The following is an 18,258-nucleotide window of genomic DNA, read 5'->3' as shown; positions in this document are numbered from 1 at the left end:
GTTTAAATTGTTACAACAAACTGTAAGAAAAAGAAATTTCCCATTTTATATTGCTCATATCCGAGCACATACTAATTTACCAGGGCCTTTAACTAAGGCAAATGAACAAGCTGACTTGCTAGTATCATCTGCCTTCATGAAAGCACAAGAACTTCAGGCCCTGACTCATGTAAATGCAACAGGATTAAAAAACAAATTTGATATCACATGGAAACAAGCAAAAAATGTTGTACAACATTGTGCTCAGTGTCAAGTCTTACACCTGCCCGCTCAAGAGGCAGGAGTTAATCCTAGAGGTTTATGTCCTGATGCATTATGGCAAATGGACGTCACACATGTACCTTCATTTGCAAAATTGTCATTTGTCCATGTGACAGTTGATACTTATTCACATTTCATATGGGCAACCTGCCAGACAGGAGAAAGTACTTCCCATGTTAAAAGACATTTATTATCTTGTTTTGCAGTCATGGGATTTCCAGAAAAAATTGAAACAGGTAATGGGCCAGGATACTGTAGTAAAGCATTTCAAAAATCCTTAAATCAGTGGAAAATTACACATACAACAGGAATCCTTAATTTCCAAGGACAGGCCATAATTGAAAGAACTAATAGAACACTCTAAGCTCAATTGGTTAAACAAAAGAAGGAAAAAGTAAGGAGTATAATACTCCCCAGATGCAACTTAATCTAGCACTCTATACTTTAAATTTTTTAAATATATATAGAAATCAGACCACTACTTCTGCAGAACAACATTTTACTGGTAAAAAGAACAGCCCACATGAGGGAAAACTGATTTGGTGGAAAGACAACAAAAATAAAACATGGGAAATAGGTAAGGTGATAACATGGGGGTGAGGTTTTGCTTGTGTTCCAACAGCAGAAAATCAGCTTCCTCTTTGGGTACCCACTAGACATTTGAAGTTCTACAATGAACCCATCAGAGGTGCAAGGGAAGGCACCTCCGCAGAGACAGAGAACCCGCAATCGAACATCATCGACTCGCAGGGTGAACGAAATGGTGATATCAGAAGAACAGATGAAGTTGCCATCCACCAAGAAAGTGGGGCCGCCGACCTGGGCCCAGCTAAAGAAGCTGACACAGTTAGCTGAAAAAAGCCTGGAAAACACAAGGGTAACACAAACTCCAGAGAATATGCTACTTGCAGATTTAATGATTGTATCAACGGTGGTAAGTCTCCCTATGTCTTCAGGAGCCGCTACAGCTAACTATACTTACTGGGCCTATGTGATTTTCCCACCCTTAATTCGAGCAGTCACTTGGATAGATAATCCTATTGAAGTATATGTTAATAACAGTGCATGGGTACCAGGCCCCACAGATGACCGTGGCCCTGCCCAACCTGAAGAAAAAGGAATGATGATAAACATTTCCATTGGGTATCATTATCCTCCTATTTGCCTGGGAAAAGCACCAGGATGCTTAATGCCTACAATCCAAACTTGGTTGATAGAAGTACCTACTGTCAGTGCCACCAGTAAATTTACTTATCATATGATAAGAGGAATGTCGCTCAGGTCACAAATGAATAATTTACAGAATTCTTCCTATCAAAGATCATTAAAATTTAGGCCTAAAGGGAAACCATGCCCCAGGGAAATTCCAAAAGAATCAAAAGACCCAGTAGTCTTAGTTTGGGAAGAATGTGTGGCTGATACTGCAGTGGTACTACAAAACAATAAATTTGAAACTATTATAGACTAGGCCCCTCAATGCCAATTATATTATGACTGTATGGGCCAGACCCACTCATGTTCACAGGCTCCATGTGTCTGGCCCACTAATCCGGCCTGTGATAGTGATTTAACTAAAAGGCTAGACCAGGTTTATAGAAGGCTAGAATCACCCTATCCATGGAAATGGGGTGAAAAGAGGATTTCATCACCCCGACCAAATTTAGTTAGTCCTGTTTTTGGTCCTGAACACCCAGAATTATGGAAGCTCACTGTGGCCTCGTACCACATTAGAATTTGGTCTGGAAATCAAGTTATGGGAACAAGAAATCATAAGCCATATTAACTATTAACCTAAATTCCAATCTGAAAATTCCTTTGCAAAGTTGTGTAAAACCCCCTTATATGCTAGTTGTAGAAAACATAGCTATTAAACCAGATTCCCAAACTACAACCAGTGAAAATTGTAGATTGTTTACTTGCATTGATTCAACTTTTGATTGGCAGAATGCTATTCTGTTAGTAAGGGCAAGAGAAGGCGTGTGGATCCCTGTGTCCATGGATCGACCGTGGGAGGCTTCTCCATCCGTACATACCTTAAGTATTAAAAGGAGTTCTAATTAGATTTAAAAGATTCATTTTTACTTTGATTGCAGTGATTATGGGTCTTATTGCAGTCACAGCTACTGCTGCGGCTGCTGGAATTGCTTTACACTCCTCTGTTCAAACTGCAGAATATGTGAATAATTGGCAAAAGAATTCCTCAAAATTGAGGAATTCTTAGACTCAAACAGGTCAAAAATTGGCAAATCAAATTAATGATCTTAGACAAACTGTTATTTGGATGGGAGATAGGCTCATGAGCTTAGAATATCTTTTTCAGTTACAGTGTGACTGGAATATGTCAGATTTTTCTATTACACCTCGAGCCTATAATGAATCTGAACAGCACTGGGACATGGTTAGACGCCATCTACAAGGAAGATAAGATAATCTTACCTCAGATATTTCTAAATTGAAAGAACAAATTTTTGAAACATCAAAAGCCCAGTTAAATCTGGTGTCAGAAACGGAGGCAATGGTAAAAGCTGTTGATAGCCTCACAAATCTTAACCCTGTCACTTGGGTTAAAACCATTGGAAATTCCACTATTGCAAATTTTGTATTAATTCTTGTATGTCTGTCCTCTCTATTGTTAGTCTACAGGTGTATCCAGCAGCTCCGGAGAGACAGCGACCAGCGAGAAGGGGCCATGATGACCATGGCGGTTTTGTCAAAAAGAAAAGCGGGAAATGTAGGGAAAAGAGAGAGATCAGACTGTCACTGTGTCTATGTAGAAAGGGAAGACATAAGAGACTCCATTTTGAAAAAGACCTGTACTCTAACAATTGCTTTGCTGAGATGTTGTTCATTTGTAGCTTTGCCCCAGCCACTTTGCCCCAGTCACTTTGCCCCAACTTGGAGTTCACAAAAACATGTGTTGTATAAAATCAAGGTTTGAGGGATCTAGGGCTGTGCAGGACGTGCCTTGTTAACCAAATATTTACAAGCAGTATACTTGGTAAAAGTCATTGCCATTCTCTAGTCACAATAAACCACGGGAACAATGCACCGTGGAAAGCCGCAGGGAGCCCTGCCCTTGAAAGCAGGGTATTGCCCAAGGTTTCTCCCCATGTGATAGTCTGAAATATGGCCTCGTGGGATGAGAAAGACCTGACTGTCCCCCAGCCTGACACCCGTAAAGGGTCTGTGCTGAGGCGGATTAGGAAAAGAGGAAAGCCTCTTGTAGTTGAGATGGAGGAAGGCCACTATCTCCTGCTTGCCCCTGGGAACTGAATGTCTCGGTGTAAACCCGATTGTACATTTGTTCAAGTCTGAGCTAGGAGAAAAGCTGCCCTGTGGCGGGAGGCGAGACATGTTGCAGTAACGCTGCCTTGTTATTCTTTACTCCACTGAGATGTTTGGGTGGAGAGAAACATAAATCTGGCCTACGTGCAAGTCCAGTCATAGTACCTTCCCTTGAACTTAATTATGATATAGATTCTTTTGCTCACATGTTTTTTGTTGACCTTCTCCTTATTATCACCCTGCTCTCCTATTACATTCCTTTTTGCTGAAATAATGAAAATCATAATCAATAAAAACTGAGGGAACTCAGAGGCCAGTGCACGTACAAATCCTGGTGTGCTGAGTGCCGGTCCCCTGGACCCACTGTTGTTTCCCTGTACTTTGTCTCTGTGTCTTATTTCTTTTCTCCGTCTCTCATCCCACCCGACTAGAAATACCCACAGGTGTGGAGGGGCAGGCCACCCCTTCAATTTGGTGACACATGGCCTGTGGCCTCAAAGAACACTGACACCCCGGTAACATCCATTCAAAGGGGTTCTCCGTACCTCCCCTCCTTTATCCCCAAGGTCTCTGGGTCAGAGATCACTGAGTCATTCACAACATGATGTTTAACACCGAGATGCTCTGGAATTGCTCCTTCAAGACGACTCAGAAGAAGACCCAGTGCTGAGACAATCGTGTTCTCTCTCTCTCTGGATCACTGCCCAGAGACAAGGACTGCCAGAGACCCTGGCTTCCCCAGCTGCTGCCTCCCATTCCTGCGCCTGTGGGATGAGAGATCGAAGCTGTGTGACCTTGACCAAGTTACTTACCCTCTCTAAGCATATGTTTCCCTAAATGTGAAATAGGATGATGGTGATGTGTTTATTTCACAGATTTGATAGAAGGATTAAATGAGAGATGCATCAAAAGCAGTGGGCACAGGGTCAATGCTCAGTGAGCTTTCTCTTTTCTTATCAATAGACAGGTCTCCATGAGGACAGAGACTGGCTTCATCTTGACTGTAGCCTCAGGGCTGGCCACAGTGTCTGCACCCAGCAGGACTTCAGTAAATATCTGTTTATACACTAACCACAGACTTAGGCATAAAAGCCCTTTGGAAGAAAGTTGACCATTTCATGCACCTTCAGACTATGAAGAGCAATGATGACAACTTTAGCTCGAGAGGCTCTCAGTGCTCTTTCATCACCACTGTGAAAAGGCAGAAACCAGAGCTGTGTGTTTAACTCTCAGCCCCAAAACCTGTTGGCTTTGCTTTATCACTATGAACTTCCAATGCCATCCCTTTAGAATGAGACCTCTCTCTTCTTCCCCAAGGCACCAGCCTTCACCCTAGACCTCTCCTTATTAGCTGGTTCCTCCTGTCTGTACTCTGAGCCCATGCTGTGCTCGTCAGATAGCAACAAGGGAGAATACAGCAGCCCAGAATGCAGGCTGCAGAGTTAGATCCCCAGAACAGGATCTCAGCCGGCTCCATCCTTCCTCAGCTGGGCGACCGTGGCCATTGACTTCCTCTCTGTGCCTCAGTTGCTCCATCTGTGAAATGACGATTGTCATAGTCCCTGCTTCAAAGAGTCACTGGGAGGATTAACTGAGAAAATGCAGGGAAGGTGCTTGGAACTAAATGCTCCAAAAAAGTCCATCTGGCCAGGCACGGTGTCTCACGCCTGTAATCCCAGCACTTCGGGAGACTGAGGCAGGTGGATCACTTAGGTCAGGAATTCAAGACCAGCCTGGTCAACATGGCAAAACCCCGACTCTACTAAAAATACAAAAATTAGCCAGGCATGGTGGCAGGCACCTGTAATCTCAACTACTTGGGAGGCTGAGGCATGAGAATCTCTTGAACCTGGGAGGCAGAGGTTGCAGTGAGCCGAGATGGTGCCAAGGCACTCCAGCATGGGCAACAAGAGCAAAACTCTGTCTCAAAAAAAAAAAAAGTCCATCATTCTTATTAATGGAGGACAAATCATCTCAGTGCTTCTTTGGCTGATCAGTACCCTCAAAGCTAGTGTTATCCAATAGACCAGAGGTCCCCATCCCCCAGACCACAGACCAGTAGCGGTCTGTGGCCTGTTAGGAACTGGGCTGCACAGAAGGAGGTGAGCAGTGAGCTAATGAGTGAAGCTTCATCTGTATTTACAGCTGCTCCCCATGGCTAGCGTTACCGCCTGAGCTCTGTCTCCTGTCAGATCAGCAGTGGCATTAGATTCTGATAGGAGCACCAACCCTATTGTGATCTGCATGTGGAAGGGATCTAGGTTGTGTGCTCCTTATGAGAATCTAATGCCTGATGATCTGTCACTGTCTCCCACCACCCGAAGATGGGATTATCTAGTTGCAGGAAAACAAGCTCAGGGCTCTCACTGATTCTACATTATGGTGAGTGGTATAATGATTTCATTATATATTATAATGTTCATAACAATAGAAATAAAGTACACAATAAATGTAATGTACTTGAATCATCCTGAAACTTCCCCCAACAAGTACACGGAAACTGGTCCTTGGTGCTAAAAAAAAATTGGGGACCACTGCAATAGACTATTCAGTCATGGTCCAATCAAACATTCTGCAATGGTGGGCTTGCTCTACTCTGCACTGTCCAACATGGGAGGTGCTAGCCGCCCACATGGGCTGTTGAGCCCTTGAAATGTGGCTGGTGAGAATGAAGAACTGAATTTTCAATTTTCTCTTAATTTTTTTTTTTTTTTTTTTCAGACAGAGTCTCACTCTATCCTCCAGGCTGGAGTGCAGTGGTGCAATCTCATCTCACTGCAACTTCCATCTCCCAGGTTCAAGCAATTCTCCTGCCTCAGCCTCTTGAGTAGCCAGGATTACAGGAACCCGCCATCATGCCCGGCTAATTTTTGTATTTTTGTAGATACGAGATTTCACCATGTTGGCCAGGCTGATCTTGAACGCCTGACCTCAGGTGATCTGCCCAACTTGGCCTCCCAAAATGCTGGCATTACAGGTGTGCCACCATGCCTGCCCTTAATTCATTTCTAAATCACAAAATCTAAACAGTAAGTGGATAGGAGCTACCATAGTGTACAAGGCAGCTGTAGAATCACAGGAAATTGTCAATGACCCTGTCCTGCTTCAAGTTGACTTTTCTCCCTCATGGTGAGACTCTAGATTCTTTCCTCTTCTCTCACATTTTTTAGACTTTCAGGCTTAGACCATGAAAATAAGTTCTGTCCTTCCAAGAAAATAACGTTCATAACACTTACTGTATACCAGGCTGATTTCAGTGCTTTACATGTATTAATTTACAACAACTCTGAGGCACAAGCTGTGATTATGCCCATTTAACAGATGACAAAACTGAGGCACAAAGCAGTGCTGGAACTTCTCAAAGTCACACAGGTAGCAGGAGGCAGAGCTCGGATTTGAACTCACTTTGGGTTCAGCAACTCACAGCTCTCACCTATGACATAATATTACTTCTGTGGTTAAAACACTTAGACCTGGATTTTACAGGAATCTTGTGCTTGCCTGGCTGCTAGGGAGGTTTTCATCATCTTCCTTATCTCACAGTTCAAAACCCAGGGCCTCCAAGCTCTTGCTACGGTGGCTGTTCACTGGCAGGAGGCTTCTGGGAAGGTTCTCCTTTTCTGTCATTTTTCTTATTCGTCTTTTTTTGTCTCATTGGTGTTTATTCGCAGAACTTTGTTTCCTTCTGCTCAATTCATAATCAGAGTGCTTTTCCTCCTGGCTGAATTCATAAGTGTTTGTGCAAAAAGAGGTTGGCGCAGAGCCAGGCGACTGACGACACCCGGCTCATCTGGCAAGTGGATATCAAATTGTTGTATCTCGTTCTGCCATTCACAGCTCCTGCTGTGGGGCTGGGTCATCTGCCAGCTCTCCAAGGAGCTGGCGGGAAACCGCTGCAATCAGAGCGAACCCAGGGCCCGGGTGAGCCCGCCTCCGCACAGCACTCCAGCTGCCCCCAGTGCCTTTTGGGGACACATCTGCTTTGCCAGGCAGGGCTGTGGGAGGGCCGCCTGTCTCCTGTCCATCACAGGGAAAACCTACCCTTGTCCCGCGTCCCTTCCAGGCAGCCTGTGTGGAGCTTGCTGCATTCACCTTTAATATGGCTAAAATGTTTTCCTTCAATGACAGTAATGCTGCCAGAACCCATCAAGACACCCAGGAACTGATGTGCCTTGGCAGATGATGCTGGAAAAATGGGATTCCCGGCAGCCTTTGCATCCCTTGCTCACAGCCCACAAGCATCTCCACTGTCCAGCAGGTCAGGGCACGGTCTCTCTCTCTAGCTCTGTGTCTCTCTCTCACGGTCTTTCTCATGGTCTCTGTCTCTCACGATCTCTCTCTCTCATAGTCAGGGCAGAAAGAGAGAGAGTCCATCTGGAGCAGACTCGGATTTTAAATGAGTGTCACCGATAATTTAACACGATCAATGGCTGAGGTATTTCACCAAGTTCAGGAGTCCCAGTTCTCAGAGAGAGGCAGCCAGCCATGACTGTAAGACCTGGGCAAACCGTACAAACCAGACAGCAGGTCTCACCGCTCCCCAGAGAGCTCCAGAGAATATCAAAGAGTGAAACAGCAGAGGGATGGTCTGGGTGGGGTCATCGTGGCTGGCAAGGGCCTGTGACAGCACCTTGTTAGGCTACTCCCAAGAGGAAATTTGGAGAGAGGGTGGGAGGGCGGCTCTCAGTGCAAGCTAAGTCTCCTGGAAAGTAACTTCCAAGCTTTGGAGGATTGTGAGCAAGATGGGACCAACTTCTACCTAAAAGCAACTTCTACCTGAAAGAATGTTAATAGCAAGATAACTCATCCTAATGTTGGTCCAAGCTAGGTCTTTATTATGTATCATAAAGGCTCTGAGAATAACAATGTAACCTCCAAAAGGGCTGCGGGCTTTGAGGAATCTCAGGCAACTCGCTTCCTTCTGCTCAGTGACTCCCGTGGAGCACAGCAAAGCAAGGAAACACTTAGAGCCAAGCTTGAGTTCTGAATTTCAAATACAGGGAGTCCATCTCTTTCTACCCAATTGTTCCCTAGATGAGTAACTAACTCCTTCCCCATAACTGCACATATTTCCTACCAAAGCACAAGAGCGATGGGCTGTCCATGAGCCTCCCCAAAACATGTGCACCTTGTGACATAAATTCTGTCACCCAAAGAGACCAGACAAAATGTAAAACCAAAGTGGAGCCTTTCCTTGAATTATAGGTTCTAAAGAGTTTTGGACCCTCTACAAAACCCAAGAGTTAGGAATTGCCTGTAAGAAGCACCAGCTCTTGTTTTAAAGAGGCAATTTAAGAATAATAGCCATGCTGATGCCACACTATGCTAAGGGAGAATAATGAACCTAACAAAACAAGCGATTTTCCAATTGCCTTTGCTGCTGGAAACACTGATTATGCTAATTAAAGGGTAGAATAGTAAATAGCCACTCTTTTGCATCCAATTAAGTGTTCAGATTATTTCTCAGAAGTATTTGTTAAAAATAGCACTTCTGATAATCATGGGTCCCAAATAAACAGAGTCAAGTGCGGTGTGGTACATGTGTGAGTGTGTGTGTGTGCACACGTGTCTTTCTGGAGCTCATTTTATGGAGATCCAGCATAGCTCCCCAAATTCCTGTGAGAACAAATAAGAAAAATCACAGTCTTCTAAGACTACAGCTTGGGATATCTTTGGAAAAGGTGTGTATTGAGAACACAGCATATGGAAACTATTTCACGTTGGCAATGTCTGTGATTTAACATTGCAAATATTACAAATGAAACTGGTTCTTCAGAGTCACCTAAGTCCCTCATAATGGCAATATTAGCTTCTTCTAAATAATAAATTAGCCAGTCAAACTATGTTCTACAGCATGTTAGAAGTTTCATCCTTCTAGTCAATGTCACATTTCAAGACAAAGTCGATTTATATGTAAGTTAAAAGAAGTGCTGTCACTAAAAATTGAGAATTATGTCTAATGCCAATCAGAAATGGAATAAATAAGCATTAGAGGATTTGCAAGTGAAAGCAACCATAGAAATGCTATCATCAGGAAGGAAAATGTATTACCTGCAGAGGTTACAGATAAGACGTTAGAACCCAGAAGAGAAAGAATCTCTGTAAATATTTCCATTAAGTTAATCAAGAGTGGCTGGGTATGGTGGCTCATGCCTGTAATCCCAGGACTTTGGGAGGCCAAAGAGGGCAGATCACGAGGTCAGGAGTTCGAGACCAGCCTGGCCAACATGGTGAAACACTGTCTCTATTAAAAATACAAAAAATTAGCCGGGCGTTGTGGTATACACCTGTAATCCCAGCTACCCAGGAGGCTGAGGCAGGAGAATTGGTTTAATCCAGAAGGCAGAGGTTTCAGCTAGCTGAGATCACACCATTGCACTCCAGCCTGGGTGACAGATCATGGCTCCATTTTGAAAAAAAAAAAAAATAAAGAAAGAAAGAAAGTTAATCAGGGTGAGAATAGGATGAGTTTTTCACCCACAAAAAGACATGAGATTCATGCATTCTTTCAACATGCATTCCATCAATAGTGAGCACCTGCTCTGAGCTAGGCCCATTCCAGGTCTCAGGAAATGAGTAACCAACCAGACACGGCCCCTGATTTGGAGCTCACATTTTAGAGCAGCTAAATGGACAGTAAACAAGTAAGCAAATTAAGATCGTCTTAAATTGGGGGAAGTTCTTTAGAGAAGCACTTCCATAAAGCTGAATCGCATCATAGACTATGACTGCCAGGTGGTAGGGAAGGTAATATCTCACCTGCTTGTGGATAGCAGAGCTTCTGAGGCCTTGCAAAGTATTTAGTACTAAGATTTCTGTCTTAGGTCAAGTTCCCTAAAAGCAGAGACTGAGGCAGGGATTGAGTGCATGTAATTCATTCAGGAAGAAGTCTCAGGAGATAGGAGTAAGGAAAACAGGATATGGCAGGAAAGGAGCTAAGTGAGATGTGGTCTCAGCTGGAGACTGGCTCCAGTCTGATCTCACAGGGAGCTCCAGAGGATGAACTGCACCACCATGTTATCCCAGCCTAAGGTCTTTTGTTCTCCTGTGTCAGCCGGTCCTTGGCCAAGGGCTGCAGACTCTCTTGGGGCCCCAGCAGACCGGAGGAGAAGGAGCATGCTCTGTGGTCTACTCTTTTGTGCACATCCACCCACCACTTCCCCAGCTGACACTGCTGGAGGAGGAGAGGGAGAGATGTCATCTCCTTCTATGGCAACCTGTGGGGTGGCAATGGCCCTTTTCCTGTTGGGTGTAATCTGCTGCCATCTCCTGCTGTCTGCAGCCTGACACAGAAGGGTGAATGTCACCAGGTTCCACTGACAGGGGTCTTTGTCTCAAGCAGCAACCATAGGACCGAGGGTCCCTTGCAAGATTCAGCCACATTTCATGACTGTCTGCAACACACCCCATGCCTCTGATGGAAGGAACCCAATGCCCCATGCAGCACTCATTTCTGCCAGACTACAGTCCCTGATCTCAATTTCCCTCTGCAGTCCCCAACTCTGGGGTCTGCAGACAGATTTCAGATCCCTCCTTATACCTCCCAGGAGGCAGAAGCCAGAGGAAATAATCCTTGTCCCAATGCACCTGACCATGCCACCTCACTGCATGCTCTTTCTCCCTCTCCAGGAAAAATCAAGCTGGTTGAATACTAACCAATATGCCCACATGCATTTAGTCCCCATAACCACTTCTTGGGGCAGCATAACCATCCCCAAGTTACAGACGAGGAAACTGAGGAGAACATTTATATAACATGCATCTAAGTGGTGGACAAAGGATCTAACCAGGCCGTGTGGCACCAGAGCACACATTTTTGTTGTTCAGAGAGATGGGGTCTCTCTCTGTCCCTCAAATTGGAGTGCAGTGGCCTGATCATAGCTCAGTGCAGGCTTGAACTCCCAAGCTCCAGCAGTCTTCCCGCCTCAGCCTCCCGAGTAGCTGGGACTAGAGGCATTCACCACCAACCCAGCTAATTTTTAAAAAACATTTTTCTAGAGATAGGGTCTGATTCCAAACTCCTGACTTCAAGCGATCTTCCTGCCTCAGCCTCCCAAAGTGCTGATATTACAGTTGTGAGCCCCCGCGTCCAGCCCAGAGCAGATTTTTTTTTTTTTTTTTTTTTTTTTGAGATGGAGTCTCACTCTGTCACCCAGGCTGAAGTGCAGTGGCAAAATCTCGGCCCAGAGCACACTTTTAACCACCATATCATTCTGCCTCTGGGTAGGTTAGTCAAGCTCTGTAGCTGATCAGATGTCTGTAGAGAGAAAGAGACATCAATCTCCCCTTCTTCCAAACACCCCCAAATTTTACAAGTGATTTTCTCAGATCCCTCAGCATCAGGAATGGGGATGTGCAGGGCAGCCTGTCCCCTTCCCAACAGCCCAGCAGATATCCCAAGATTACATCTCATTGGCTCTGACTAGGACATGAGCCCAAAGCTGAACCAGTAGCTGTAGCCATGGCATGCAGCATCCTCGGTCCTCTGGCCAGGCCAGAGCTACATCCCACCTCTGGATCCCCGGGTTGAGTCAATAATCTCCAACCAGGCGCGGACTGAAGCTCAAGGGGGAGTCATAGTAATGTGACCCAGCCCACCAGGAAGTGGGTGCTGAGCAGGCAAGCATTCATCACCCACTGCACACACCAGGGAAGGCTTGTGGTGGCTTAGTCCCACCTGGGGGCAAAGAAAAGACTGCCTGCTCCATGCCAAAACGTGATGCCCAACACCGTATCTTAAAGCTAGCTGGCTTTGTAATCCCTGCTACTTGGAAGGCTGAAGCAGGAGAACCACTTGAATCCAGGAGGCGGAGGTTTCAGTGAGCCAAGATCACGCCAGTGCGCTCCAGCATGGGTGATAAGAGAGAAATTCTGTTTCCAAAAAAAATAAAAATAAAAATAAAAAAATAAAAAGCTAGCCTGCTTAATCCTCACAAAGATGCCATCTACTTTTTGGCATTCTAGATGTAGAAACACTGAGACGCTGAGAAACTCACCACCAGCCGGGAACGGTGTCTCATGCCTGTAATCCCAGCACTTTGAGAGGCTGAGGCAGGAGAATTACTTGAACCCAAGAGTTCAGGACCAGCCTGGGCAAATTAGCGAGACCTCATCTCTACAAATATTAAAAAAAAAAAAAAAATTAGGGCTAGGCGCGGTGGCTCACACATGTAATCCCAGCACTTTGGGAGGCCAAGGCAAGTGGATCACTTCAGCCCAGGGATTCGAAACCAGCCTGGCCAACACGACACAACTCTATCTCAACTAAAAATACAAAACTTAGCTGGGCATAGTGGCACATGTCTATAATCCCAGCTACTTGGGAGGCTGAGGCACGAGAATTGCTTGAACCTAGGAGTCAGAGGTTGCAGTGAGCTGAGATTGTGCCACTGCACTCCAACCTAAGTGACAGAGTGAGACCGTGTCTCAAAAACAACAAAAAAAAATATTGGTGTGGTGTCACATGCCTGTTGCCCCAGCTGCTCAAGAGGCTGAGGTAGCAGGATCACTTAAGCCCCGAAGTTCAAGGGTGCAATGAGCTATGATTGTACCCCTGCACCACAATGTATACATATATGTGTAGGTGTACACACACACATATACATGTGTATGTATATATGCGTGTGTACACACACACACATATACTTGTGTATGTATATATGCGTGTGTACACACACACACATATACATGTGTATGTATATATGCGTGTGTACACACACACATATACATGTGTATGTATATATGCGTGTGTACACACACACATATACATGTGTATGTATATATGCGTGTGTACACACACACATATACATGTGTATGTATATATGCGTGTGTACACACACACATATACATGTGTATGTATATATGCGTGTGTACACACACATATACATGTGTATGTATATATGCGTGTGTACACACACACATATACATGTGTATGTATATATGCGTGTGTACACACACACATATACATGTGTATGTATATATGCGTGTGTACACACACACATATACATGTGTATGTATATATGCGTGTGTACACACACATATACATGTGTATGTATATATGCGTGTGTACACACACATATACATGTGTATGTATATATGCGTGTGTACACACACATATACATGTGTATGTATATATGCGTGTGTACACACACATATACATGTGTATGTATATATGCGTGTGTACACACACATATACATATGTATATATGCGTGTGTACACACACACATATACATGTGTATGTATATATGCGTGTGTACACACACACATATACATGTGTATGTATGCGTGTGTATACACACACATATACATGTGTATGTATATATGTGTGTGTACACACACATATACATGTGTATGTATATATGTATGTGAGTATATGTACACATATATACATGTACATATGTGTATATATATGTGTGTATATATATATGTGTATATATATAAAAACACACATGCACAAATTCACCCCCACCAACTCAGAAATTACCGTCTCCTTCTATTCTAAGGAACTATTTTTCATATTGCCATCTCTGTAGTTGTAATACACCTTACAATCACTGGAATGTCACGGTCTCATTGACAGCATTTTTCTGCTCAGTAGCCCATAAAATAATAGTACATCTTGTAACTAACAGTGTTGTAGATGCTATGAGATCCTGGGGAAGCCCAGAATCTAACTCCACCCTGTCTGACTCCAAAGACCACATATTTCCTACACCTTTGGACAGGGGCACAGATGTAGACAACTCGAGCTTTGCTGATTGTGAGAAAGGTATGACAAATGGCCCTGATGGAATTTTCTTCTTGTACTTACAGGGGAACAGAGCGGCATCATTCCACTATTCCAGGGGAGGTGCTAAATATGAGGGTGAGGCTGTCAAGTGGTCCCTGGTGGATTCCTACACTCACCCAAGCAGCAACGAGACAGAGCGGAAGGAGAACATCGATATCGTCATGAACTGGTTCACCAAGGAAGACTTTGATTTTGTGACTCTGTGCTACAGAGAGCCAGATAACGTGGGACATCGATTCGGGCCAGAGGCAGAGAAAAGGAAGTTGATGATTCAGCAAATCGACAGGACCATCGGGTATCTGGTGGGAGCCACTGAGAAGCACAGCCTGCAGAGCACCTCAGCGTCATCACTACATGAGACCGTGGGATGACCACCGTAAAGAAGAGACCCAATGTCAACAAGATCCCCTTGTCCAACTACGTCAAGTTCAGGGACCTGGTCAAGTTTGATATTGTGCGCTACGGTGGCTTTGGGATGCCCCTGCCCAAGTTGGGGCAAGAGGAAGCCCTTTACCAGGCACTGAAGAATGCGCACCGTCACCTCCACGTCTACAAGAAGGAGGAGTTTCCAGAACACTTCCATATCGCTAAACATGACCGGGTTCTGCCAATCGTGATGTATGCCAACTCTGGTTACAGTATCAATGGGGTAAGTTCATTCTAAAATGAATAAAGTCACCTTAGATCTAGGAGACAACCATTAGGGAAGGGTGGTTCTGCAAAAATCAAACATTAGTGCACAGCCAGGCACGGTGGTTCACGCCTATAATCCTAGCACTTTGGGAGGCTGAGGCAAGTGTATAACCTGAGGTCAGGAGTTTGAGACCAGCCTGGCCAACATGGTGACACCCCAGCTCTACTAAAAATACAAAAATTAGCCGGGCGTGGTGGCGCGCATCTGTAGTTCCAGCTGCTCTGGAGGCTGAGGCAGGAGAATCGCTTGAACCTGGGAGGCAGAGGTTGCAGTGAGCCAAGATCATGCTACTGCACTCCAGTCTGGGCAATAGAGTGAGACCCTATCTCAAAAAAATATAATATAATATAATATAATATAATATAATATAATATAACATAACATAACATAACATAACATAACATAACATAACATAACATAACATAACATAACAAAACAAAACAAAATAAAATAAGTGCACACACTATGAGTTGTAGCCCACAGGGTCCTAAAGGTTCCCCACCCCCCGCCCAACCAATGCTGCGCCAAGTTACCGTTATACAAGATTAATGACCAATTCAACTTGATAAGGCTGATTTAAAAATAAAAATAAGGCTGGCCATGGTGGTTCACACCTGTAATCTCAGTGTTTTGGGAGGCCAAGACAGGAGGATTGCTTAAGGCCAGGAGTTCAAGACCAGCCCAAGCAACAAAGGGAGACGTCATCTCTACAAAAAACTAACAAATAAATAAATAGCCAGACATGGCGATGCATGCCTGTAGTCCCAGCTACTCAGGAGGCTGAGGTGGCAGGATTTCTTGAACCCAGGAGGTCAATCCTGCACTAAGCTGTGATTGCACTACTGCACTCCAGCTTGAGCAACAGAGCAAGACCCCGTCTCTAAAAAATAAATAAACAAATAATAAAAAATAAACACCAACTTCATTATTCAAAACTGTGCACAGCGCTTCACTAAACATTGAACAGCAGTTCTTTCATTTTTGTCGTCCCAACAACCCTATAAAATAGATGCTCTTAGTTCCGCCATTTTAAAGAAGAAATCAAAACGTAGAGAGAAGTGACTTGAGATTAAAAATGTAAGGTTGGGCTGGGTGCAGTGGCTCACACCTGTAATCCCAGCACTTTAGAAGGCTAACGTTGGTACATTGCTTGAGCCCAGGAGTTTGAGACCAGCCTAGGCAACACAGTGAAACACCATCTCTACGAAAAATGCAAAAAATGTAGCTGGGCGTAGTGGCACGTGCCTGTGGTCCCAGCAACTCAGGAGGCTGAGGTGGGAGAACTGCTCGAGCCCGGGGGTGTTGAGTCTGCAGTGAGCCATGATCACGCCACTGTGAGATAGGAGGCAGGACTTGACGACACAGGCAGGGCTTGGACACCAGACCAAATTAAGGACTACCTAAAACAGGGCTGGGGCAGAAGAAGCTTTCCATCAGACATGCCCACCAGTGTGCCATGTGAGTTTACTATTGCCAAGGCAACACCAGGGAGTTACTGCCCCTTTCCATGGCAATGACCCAATGACTCAAAAGTTACTACCCATTTTCTAGAAATTCCTGCATAAACTGCCCTTTAATCTGCATGCAATTAAAAGTGAGTATAAATGTGATTGCAAACTCTCTGCCGCTACTCTCTGCCACCAGGGTAGCCCTGCCCTACAGGAGCAGTCACAGGGCTGTAATGCTGCCTCTTCAATAAAGCTGTTTTCTTCTAAACCTCCGGCTTGCCCTTGAATTCTTTCCTGGGTAAAGACAAGAACCCTCAAGTGCTATTGAGAGGTGACAGCATGCTAGCAGCCCTCGCGCTCACTCTCGGCGCCTCCTCTGCCTGGGCTCCCACTTTGGTGGCACTTGAGGAGCCCTTCAGTGCACCGCTGCACTGTGGGAGCCCCTTCCTGGGCTGGTGGAGGCTGGAGCCGGCTCCCTCAGTTTGCGGGGAGGTGTAGAGGGAGAGGCGCGGGCAGGAACTTGGACTGGGCACGGCGCTTGTGGGCCAGTGCGAGTTCCGGGTGGGTATGGGCCCACTGGGCCCTGCACTCGGAGTGGCTCACCGGCCCCGATGGACCCGGGCAGTGAGGGGCTTAGCACCTGGGCCAGCAGCTGCTTTGCTCAATTTCTCACTGGGCCTTAGCTGCTTCCCTGCAGGGCAGGGCTCGGGACATGCAGCCCGCCATGCCTGAGACTCCACCCAACCCGCCGTGGGCTCCTGCGCGACCTGAGCCTCCCCGATGAGTACCGAGCCTCCCCGACGACCACAGCCCCCTGCTCCAGGGCACCCAGTCCCTTCGACCACACAAGGGCTGAGGAGTGCCAGCACAGGGCACGGGACTGGCAGGCAGCTCACCTGCGGCCCCCATGTGGGACCCACTTGCTGAAGCCAGCTGGGCTCCTGAGTCTGGTGGGGACTTTGAGAACCTTTATGTCTAGCTAAGGGATTGTAAATACACAAATTGTCACTCTGTATCTAGCTCAAGGTTTGTAAACACACCAATCAGCACCCTGTGTCTAGCTCAGGGTTTGTGAATGCACCAGTCGACACTCTGTATCTAGCTAATCTAGTAGGGATTTGGTGACCTTTTGTGTCTAGCTCAGGGATTGTAAATGTACCAATCAGCACCCTGTCAAAACAGACCAATAGGCTCACTGTAAAATGGACCAATCAGCAGGATGTGGGTGGGGCCAGAGAAGGGAGTAAAAGCAGGCTGCCCCAGCCAGCAGTGGCAACCCATTGGGGTCCGTTTCCACACTGTGGAAGCTTTGTTCTTTTGCTCTTTGCAATAAATCTTGCTGCTGCTCACTCTTTGGGTCCACACTGCCTTTATGAGCTGTAACACTCACCTCGAAGGTCTGCAGCTTCACTCCTGAAGCCAGCGAGACTATGAACCCACCGGGAGGAACAAACAACTCCAGACGCCCCACCTTAAGAGTTGTAACACTCACCTTGAAGGTCTGCAGCTTCACTCCTGAAGCCAGCGAGACCACAAAACCACCAGAAGGAAGAAACTCTGAACACATCCGAGCATCAGAAGGAACAAACTCTGGACACGCAGCCTTTAAGAACTGTGACACTCACCGCGAGGGTCCGCGGCTTCTTTCTTGAAGTCAGTGAGACCAAGAACCCACCAGTTCCGGACACACTATGCTCCACTTCGGGGCTCCCCTGCCCTGCGTCAACTGCACTCTGGCCTGGGTGGCAGAGAGAGAGACCCTATCTTTAAAAAAAGAAAG

At 45.7% G+C, this 18,258-nt stretch overlaps 1 long non-coding RNA gene and 1 pseudogene across 2 annotated transcripts in view, besides 1 other annotated feature; one reads left to right on the top strand and one right to left on the bottom strand.

Annotated features, from left to right (window-relative positions):
- Positions 1 to 14,985, top strand: part of ENPP7P6 (ectonucleotide pyrophosphatase/phosphodiesterase 7 pseudogene 6) — a 63,266-nt pseudogene extending 48,281 nt beyond the window's left edge.
- FAM86B2-DT (FAM86B2 divergent transcript) overlaps positions 1 to 18,258 on the bottom strand; it is a 129,833-nt gene that overhangs the window by 103,848 nt on the left and 7,727 nt on the right. For both annotated transcript variants that reach the window (NR_040092.1, NR_040091.1), the window contains exon 4: positions 18,104 to 18,242. This is a non-coding gene — a long non-coding RNA (FAM86B2 divergent transcript). The remainder of the gene's footprint in view (positions 1 to 18,103; positions 18,243 to 18,258) is intronic.
- Positions 17,038 to 17,640: an enhancer, noted in NCBI's record as "H3K27ac-H3K4me1 hESC enhancer chr8:12302867-12303469 (GRCh37/hg19 assembly coordinates)". NCBI's record gives its function as "activates a minimal SCP1, AML or CMV promoter by ChIP-STARR-seq in primed H9 embryonic stem cells {active_cell/tissue: H9 hESC(primed)}" and the evidence as "EXISTENCE:reporter gene assay evidence [ECO:0000049][PMID:30033119]".

Source organism: Homo sapiens, chromosome 8 (genome assembly GCF_000001405.40).
Source record: "Homo sapiens chromosome 8, GRCh38.p14 Primary Assembly".
Classification (NCBI taxonomy): domain Eukaryota; kingdom Metazoa; phylum Chordata; class Mammalia; order Primates; family Hominidae; genus Homo; species Homo sapiens.
The sequence above is the reverse complement of the archived record's forward strand: the minus strand, read 5'-3'. Positions and strand labels throughout refer to the sequence as shown.